General features: G+C 49.9%; 1 long non-coding RNA gene across 1 annotated transcript; it reads right to left on the reverse strand.

Annotated features, from left to right (window-relative positions):
* Positions 1-2,309: 2,309 nt before the first annotated feature.
* On the reverse strand, positions 2,310-7,053 carry LOC124901792 (uncharacterized). The gene is made up of 2 exons (XR_007060618.1): positions 4,402-7,053; positions 2,310-3,127 (listed from the first exon to the last, which is right to left on the reverse strand). It is a non-coding gene; the product is annotated as an uncharacterized LOC124901792 (long non-coding RNA).
* Positions 7,054-8,907: the final 1,854 nt, after the last annotated feature.

Genomic DNA, 8,907 nt, shown 5'->3' on the forward strand with positions numbered 1-8,907 from the left:
AGCAAACATACACCGGGGAGAATGACACCAGCCGGACCTTCCGAGATGACAAAGCATCAGACAGGAGGAGGGGAGCATTCCCAACGAGGAGCCCGAGGAAGGTCTGCAGCGGACAGAAGGGACGGGGCTGGGTGTGCCGCCAGTCCAGGGCCAAGCTCTCAGGGCAGCATTGGGCGGGGAGGGCAGAGGAAGAAAGGGCCGGAGAGAAGCCCGAACAGGAAGTGAGCTGGACCTCAGGAGGAAGTTGTCAACACCACTGAGAAGAGATGAGGTCTCCGACAAGACACTGGCCCTCCCCAGCCACAGCCTCCTCAGCAAAAGCGAGGGAATCACCTGGGCGTTACCTTCGACTGTCAGTTCCGTGGGGCAAACCGTGGCCCTGGGCTTTAAGGAGGCAGATGGAGCTCTCTTTCCAAAGCCCTCGGTCTGGCAGAGCCACTGAGCATCCACTCAGGAATTTCTGCGATGACAATGGAAATAAAGGTGACACTGCACAGAAAATGTCTGTGTGCTCTGAGGTTTCCATCTGAGGACCCATGATTTTCAAGAGCTCTTGATCACTAGGAGTCGTTGGATTGACGAAAGTCATCAGGATTGAAATTATAATACTAAGAAATATAGAAGAATCAGAAAACTGTTAATAGAATGACCTGGCCAGCTCACCATCCCAAATCATCCTGCCCCCAACTCAGGTGGCTTCACTCTCTCTCCCGCACCCACCTCCAGCCCGGTCGTCCGGAGCATGGCAGTTCTGCTCTTCTCGGTTCTTTGAGATCCACATCCTGGCTCTTTTTAACTATGTCCTTTTTGGCATGGGGCTGATTGCCACAGCCCAAAAACGCTGAGACTCTGCCAGCACCCTGCCTTGAAATTGCCTTGAATTACTGCCTTGAAAGTTGTCCTATCTTCCCTTCAGGAACTGAAGTAGTCCTCCCTGCCTGTCATGAGTTTCCACCACAGCTGCTGTTGGGTCTCTCCTCCAGCACTTGCCCCTGCTGGGCAAAGTGTCTATTCCATGAGACCCAGAGACTCACCACCTCCACCCTTGAAGCAAACCCTAAGGGCATCCAGAGAAAGGAATTGTGCAACTCTTCCTTGACAAGGCCAATCAACCAATGAACAGGGCAACTCTTCCTTGACAAGGCCAATCAACCAATGAACAGGGCAACTCTTCCTTGACAAGGCCCATCAACCAATGAACAGGGCAACTTTTCGTTGACAAGGCCAACCAACCAATAAACAGGGCAACTCTTCCTTGACAGGGGCCAATCAACCAATGAACAGGTGTTGATGGGCAGCATCTTAGGTAGGTGAGACATGTTTCTGAGCACCTATCATATGGTGAGAGAATAAGGCAACTTCAAATCACCAGGCACAGGGATGCCACAGGAATCCCACAGGAATCCAGAGGGAGAGGAGAAAACATTTCAGAATGATGATTGCACAAAAGGGCATTTGAGCTGAAACTTCAAGAAGGGAATAGGTTCTGGAGAGGTGGAAAGGATGAGAAGTTAGCCCATCTGAAGCCATGGAGTCTGGAGGACACGGGATGTGTTCAGAGACCCCCAGATATTCGCCCAACACACTTGTGGCAGGCATGAGTCCAGGCGCCGGGATCCATCAGTGGACAAAACAAATAACCCACCCTCGCGTGCACTATATTCTAGTAGCCACGTGTCAGGAGTAGGAGTCCATGTGGGAGAAGCGGAACTGAGGTTAGAGTGGGCTATGGACAGCTGCAGCACCGCCTGACAAAGCCCCGCCGCCCTGTTCTGCCCCTGGAGAGACCTGGAGTTATGGCCAGAAACCGGCAGCACCTGGCCTGCCTGCCACCCACTGCCACAAACCCTGACCTTGGGCGTTTAACCCTTCAGCACCTCAGTTTCCTCATCTTTAAAATGAGGGGCTGGAGCCAGGCCTAGCTCAAGAATTCTGGGATGCTGGTTATATCCTGGTGTTCAAATCATAAAATGTGTGGGATTTGTAGGGGAAAATCTAAGTCGCTGTTCATTTTTATTTCCTTTGCAAGTTGCGGTTGTGTTTATTTTTCTTATTTTGTGATTAAAGTTCTCCCAGTGTGTGTTCCTCAGCCCTCATTTCTACTGAGCTCGGGATGCCCACCTTACACAGGCAGAATTGGTAGCTAGCTGTGTGCCTATCGTTTGAAGAGAACTAAAAGCCACCAAAATTATTTTCTGTTCTGAAGTCCCTGTGAAAATAAGGCCTGGGTGGATAAAGGGACACCTTCTGGAAATGCACCCACTACTTTGGAAGCTACATTACATTACAAAAGGGTTTGTCGCTATTGGCAAGTCACACTGATTTATTTATCAGACGACTGGAGGTTGGTCAGGAAAAGAAAATGAGGAGTTGAGGGGAAAAGGCACAAGTGTTTTGAATGATCAGGGAGCTAAGTTTCCTCCTTCGGTGAATTAATGGACAGAAAAGCCCAGAATCCCAGGATAGACACAGGATGATCCCATTTTCTCAGCTCCATCTCCTTTTGCTCCGTCCTGGGCTTCAGTCTTAAACCAAAAGAGCCCTCCAAGGTCAGAGAAGTGCATGAGGACTGCCAATAAATGTCTCCAACCCATGCGGGGCCCGAGGTGTCTGTCTTGGGGTGCTGAGGCAGGTGAGGATTTGAGCAGCAGAGGCAGGCTGAGTCCAGGCAGGTGGTGGTTGGGGTTCGTGGGGCCCTCTGAGGTCCCGGGGCACAGTGGGTTATAAAGAGAATGCAGGCACCAAAGCATTGAAGTTCAAAGCCGGTGACACAGAGAGAAAACTGAGATACTAAGTTCAAAGTCAGCCAGCAGCAAGAGCAAATTAACGCTGCGTCCATGAGCTGCTAATTTGGGTTCCTTAGAAAGCTCTGCCCGCATCTCTGTCTGGGTGCAGCTCAGCTGTGGGTGGAGTTCCAGCTTTGAAGTTCATGGAGATGCCTGTGAGGGAGCCCAGATCAGGGTGCAGGTGGAGCCCACAGAAAGGAGAGGGCATCAAAGACACACTTCGCTGGCTGCACCATTTGCTCAGGGTTGGGCCCAGCTCCGGTTACAGCTCCATAATCCATTGTGTTCACCACTGTTTGCTTAGGTTTAACTCGGAGTTAGAATTCTGGTTTTGTTTCTCACTTAGGGAAAAAAAATAGCTTTGTAAAGGGAGGTTACTAAATAAAACTTTGAGAACTCTATTCACCCTCACAGGATGACTTTTGGCTTGCAATTCAATCCCTGGCAGGTTACTGTTCATGTATAGAATTTCCAGGCGACTAGAAGGCATTTGAAAGGAATTCTTACCGAACATTAACCTGCCTTGGTAACCACAGAAGGCATTTCTACCTGCCAAGCTCAGGCTGGGAGCTTTGGTGCAGTCCGACCTCGGCAGCATTCTCTTACTCTTTCAGGAAGCAGGTGTGAGCGCCTGCTGTGGACTAAGCAGAAAGTCAGGTGCCCAGGGACATACTCGGGTATATAAAACACAGTCTCTGCCTGCAAGGAACTCATAGTGTAACACAACTTCATGAAGAATTCTGCTCATCAATTTAAAGGAAAAAGACTTCTAGCTGATTAAATGGTATCAGATCAAATAGGAAAGGCAAAAGCCCTGAGCTAGGTCTTTGAGAATAAAAACAATGGAAAGGGGTAAGACACCAGCTACTACGATGGGACCCACAACACAGTCAGGGTGCCCTGAGAGTGTCTCCCCACAGAGAGATGGTCAGATGCTGCAGATGGAGCCATGCAAGACAGGGACACTGGGACAAGGAGCCATGGAGTTCACAGGACACAAAAAGTGGGCTGCCAGCTCACCCACTGCCCCTGACAGGCACAGGAAGAGACAGTCAGATGCTGCAGCCTAGGGTGTGCGGGGGAGTGTTAAAGATGTTTGGCATCATCTCGAACCCAGAGGACTCACAACACATGTGCACATGTGCAAGGCCCCTGTGAGACCCGGTTTTGTGTACATGTTACTTAATTCAGATGAATTGCAGCATCCAGGGTGATTTACAGATGAACTCCATCTGAGTACACCATGCTTACTCTGGGGGGAGAGCAGGCTTGAAGGCCAAGGTGGTGTTGATGGAACTCACGAAGGCTAATGCAAGGTGCTGTTGGGGAGTGAACAGCCAAGACGCCCTGGGGCTGTCCTCGTGGGTTCCACAAGAGGCAAACCCTGCACAGGAGGCTGGCACACAAGGCGTATGCCAGGACAGCCTCCAGAATCTCAGCCTGCAGGGAGGAGGAGAGCAGGACTACAGTTTCAGGGAGCCCTCCACCTACCCCACGGCCGTCGGCATTCTCCCTCACAGGGCGAGAGACCAGGCCTTTGCACACCTGCTTCTCTCTGTCACTGAATGTGGGTTTCTCTGAGGAGACGTGCACTTGGGCAGGTCTGTCCACTCACCTGAAGCGGTTCCCAGGGAATGCCGACGGTGAGTGCTGTCTGCTGGCAGCATTCCCGGGAGCTGGAGGAATTCATCCTTTTTCCTGAAGGGAGATCCGGGTGCTGCATTGCAGTGGCTCTGCGTGGCCTGAGATGGAGGCGCACACCCGGTGCTGTGTTGAGAGGCGCTTCTCCTTGCCCTCATACTATGCGGTCTCACTGAAACATCTGGAGCACGCACTGGGCTTCTGAGACACAGTTCCTCAGTGCTTGGGCCAACCAAAGACACACATTCCTCCAACACACCAACGTCCCATGTCCCCAAACATTTGATCCTGGTGAAGATTCAAGAGTAAGATGGAGCCAGTTCTGCTGTCTTCCAAAGTGCACAGACCCATCTTAGCTCTAGTTCATCGCCAGATCTCCATGGGAGCATGGGGCCAGGTTAAAGCCTCCCACAAGGAGCTCTTTGTTTCCACATCCAGACACTTGTACCGACATTAGATTGAACTACTGGCAGGAAGATGACCACCGTCACCAAAAACAATGGGCCATCTTTCAGGGTAATCTTGCTTCTGTTATTGTTTACCCTGTAATGCCCTATAAGAAGCCATCTATTTATGTGGAAGAAACTGTGAGACACCCTCATGTGCAAGGTGTATGAAGGGTAGGCTCTGTCTCTCCTTCAACAATACTGGTGGAGCCTGTTCTGATCTGCCCACCACGGGGCCAGAAAACCAGCAGGAGACCAAACGAATCACAGACATGACCTCTATCCTCAGAAGCTCTGCCTGTCAGAGTAGAAGAGCAAGACCTTCCCACAAAACAACATGATTACATGATCAGATGGCTTGAAACCAGCAACAACAAAAGAGCTTTGAGATTTCAGAGAAGTGGGAAAGAATACAGGCTGTGATGGTGAGAAAGGATCTTACAAAGGGGGCAGGTCTTGGAGTACCCTGGAAACCTGGGAAGAACCTCAGTGGTGGTGGGAGCAGGGGGAAGAGGTGGGAAGAATTGGTTATCATGACATCATCTCATGCAGGGAGACAGCTGAAGTGAGGCCCAAAAACGAGACGCTGGGGGGACGCATGGGGGGCTGGAGGCTTCTCCAGCTCCAGGGAGAGCTCCAGCCAGGAAATCACACGGGCAGATTCCATGTGGGACCTGTTCCTCTCGTTCCCACATGGCTGACGCCCAGAGAGCCATCAGACCATGAACATAGGCCTGACGAGAAGACACGAACATTCGTCAGGTTTGCATAAGAGTTTCCATAATTAAGACTCGGTGGCTCCTAGCTGCAGCTTGGGATATGAAATGGAAATCACTGTGACCTGAGAATAAAAGGTTTCTGTGAGACCTACAAAAGGAATTTCTTGGCCCTCGGGATTCAGGTGTCACCTGGGGGAAGAGGGGAGATTAGGGGAAAAGGAGGGAGCTGGCTTAAAGGACAGAGGAAAGACCGAGAGGTACAGAGGACAGGGGAGGATGAGAAGACAAATGCCACAGCCCTTCCAAGGAGGAGCCTTTTCTAACGCTGCTGCTGAGTGGCTGTTCTCACGTTCCCTCGCTGCATCCCATCAGGTGCTTTCTGTGTTTCATTCTGTTAGCTGGGTCATTATGTGACCAGAGATACACAGGTCACAGCAGACCCCTTTCCTCGTCTCATAGCCAGATGCAGGCGGTTCACAGTAGACTGCATTTGTATCTGCAGCAGAAACTTCCCTCGGAGCCCAGTCTCACCCGTCCACCTGCCACTCAGCCCTAACCCATCCCCACCACATCCACAGCCAAAGAGCATCTCAGACATAACGCATCCAACTCTAGCCCTCTGGCCCTCCTGTCCCCAGCTGCTCCTTCCACATCCCTCAGAGCAGAGGAAATGCCTTCCTGTCTGTTGCTCAGGCCAAAGACACTGGACCCCTCCCCGGTGTTTCCTTTTCTCTCAACCCAACGTTTAACCAAGCAGCAACGCCTGTGCCCCACCTCCCACCATCCCAGGACACAACCGCCACTCAGCACCTCTGCTCCCACCTGGACAGCTCCTCCTGCCCTGGCCCTTGACCCTACAGTCTTGTCCCAAAGAGAAGCCAGTTTATCAAAAAAGCAGAAAATAAGCATCGGTGAGGATGTGGAGATACCCAGGCCCTTATGCACGGCCGGCAGGAATGTAAAACGGTGCAACACTGTGGAAAAGGGTGTGACAATCCTTCAAAATATCCCACGGAGTCACCACAGGACCCAGCACTTCCACTTCTGGGTGTGCATCCAAGGAAGGGAAAACCGGGACTCAAACACATGTCTGTGACAACGTTATTGTCAACAGACAAAAGGTGGACGCCACCTAAGTGTCCATCAACAAATGAAGGGATAAACCAGACATGGTCCATCTAGACAGGGGAATATTCCTCAGCCTTAGAGAGGTAGGAAATCCTGGCACACACCACAGTGGGTATGAACCCTGAGGACACAACACTCAGTGAAGGAAGTCAGTCACCAAATGACACACACTGTCTGATCCGCTCGTATGCGGTCCCTGGAGTCCTCAAATTCAGAGACACAGAAAGTGGAAAGGTAGGTGCCAGGGGCTGGCAGGAGGATTGGGAGTGAGTAATTTGATGGGGACAGAGTTTCAGTTTGGGAAGATGAGCAAGTTGTGGAGATGATGGTGGTGATGGTTGCACAGCAGTGTGAATGTACTTAATGCTGTTGCACAGTTACAATGGTAAATTTTATGTCATGCATATTTTACCACAATAAAAAAAGAGAGAAGCCAGAGCGTGATTTTCAAGCTCAGATCAGCCCCGTCTCTGCTGGGCATGACCCTCAGGGCTCCTGCTCACCACGCTTCTGTGCTCACGACACTGCCCACTGGCCTGGGCCAAGGGCACGTTCTGCTCTCTCTGTCCCCGACATGTGGGCCTCTCCCCACAGCACCTGCAGCCACCCGGCAGACACATCTCCCAAGAGCCAGGGGATGCCCATGCTCCTGCACCCTCTGCCCAGAGAGGCCCAGGCCACCCTTGGCCCCCACCCCACCCAGTACGCCCTGCCTCGGTCTCTCTCCACAGCACTCATGGCCAGCTGACTTAATGGGCATGGAACTTATTCGCTTATTTACTGTCTGTCTCCTCAAATGAGAATGTGATTTCTATTAAAGCTCAGATTTGATCTCTGTATGTTTAACATTTCCCAAACACCCGAACAGTGCCTGGCACAGAGCAGGTGCTCTGTGCCCACCTCTTGTACCTGCTGAGTGAGTGAGTGAGTGAGTGAGTGAGTGAGTGAGTGAGTGAGTGAATGAAACCTACATCCGGCTTGATTATAAAAGGAGAGGAGTATTTTCTCTGAAATATTAGCTTTTTCTAAAACTCGAAATCTGTGTATGCTGATTGTTTCCCTTTATGTGAAGGTAATGTTGTTAAAAGAAATCCATATGATGTGTGTATCAAGCAGAGGAAAATATAATTAGCTAAGCATAAAATGGCTTTTATAACAACACGGCACCTATTTACCCTGTTTACGATAAATTACAAGGTCACAATTTCTAGGTTACAAGCACATTAGTGAACACATATGTGTTTATATGTGTGTGTATTAAAGAGTCTTTAACAAATTTAGCTTTAAAACATAGTTGTAAAAGTTAGTGGGAAAAACACCTTCACTCTACATTTTACTTGCAGGTCATTTTTGTAATAAAATGTCCAACGGTGGTTGTTGCTACACTGGATTTCCCAAGGCTTCAAAAAGCTGAACTGAAGGACTACATACTTGAAGCTCTGCACATGTCTGAAAACCCCTCTTGAAAATGCCGATAATATTCAAACAAATAGCTGGATGTTTGGGAAGAGAATGGCATTCTTTACTCCGAGCATTTTCTCCTAAACCTCAGCTGTCAACACTGGCTAAGACCCCACCTATCAGATACCGCGGCTGTACCTGACTTCCCCTCACCCACCAGCCACTTAAAATACTTTGCTTCCTTTTAATCAGAATAAGCTCTGCTGATCTCCCTTCAAACCGAGATTGTTGTTTTTACAGCGTTAACAGTCTGAACCGGAGCATAACGATCGGCTGTCTCAGGCGTTTCATGGCCCGGGACAGGCGGCTCTCTTCTTACAGATTACAGGGAACTCACACAATTAAACAGCATAAACATAGATGAGGCTATCCCGTAAACAACAGGGGACATACCTGCAGCTTCAGGGAGCACAGCATGCTGCAAAAAATGACAGAGGAGCGGAACCTTTTTGCTCAGAAGTGAATTGTATCTGGATGTTAATCAGTGAAGTGAGAGGGTGCGGGGAAGCCAGAATTTTGCTTTCTCATGCATTGTTCTAAATTGATGAAAAATACACTATCAGCTCACTACCTCTGAGGAGCAGAGGTAAATATCTGAGTAACCAAAATAAATCTGAAAACAGAGAAAATGAGGACGGTTACCCTGACATTACGGTTCGCGATCAATCGGGATTCATTAAGCTGCTAGTAGTAAATGGTTTCTGTGCAGTAAACTAGAAGAAACCC

Source organism: Homo sapiens, chromosome 7 (genome assembly GCF_000001405.40).
Source record: "Homo sapiens chromosome 7, GRCh38.p14 Primary Assembly".
NCBI classification, from domain to species: Eukaryota; Metazoa; Chordata; class Mammalia; order Primates; family Hominidae; genus Homo; species Homo sapiens.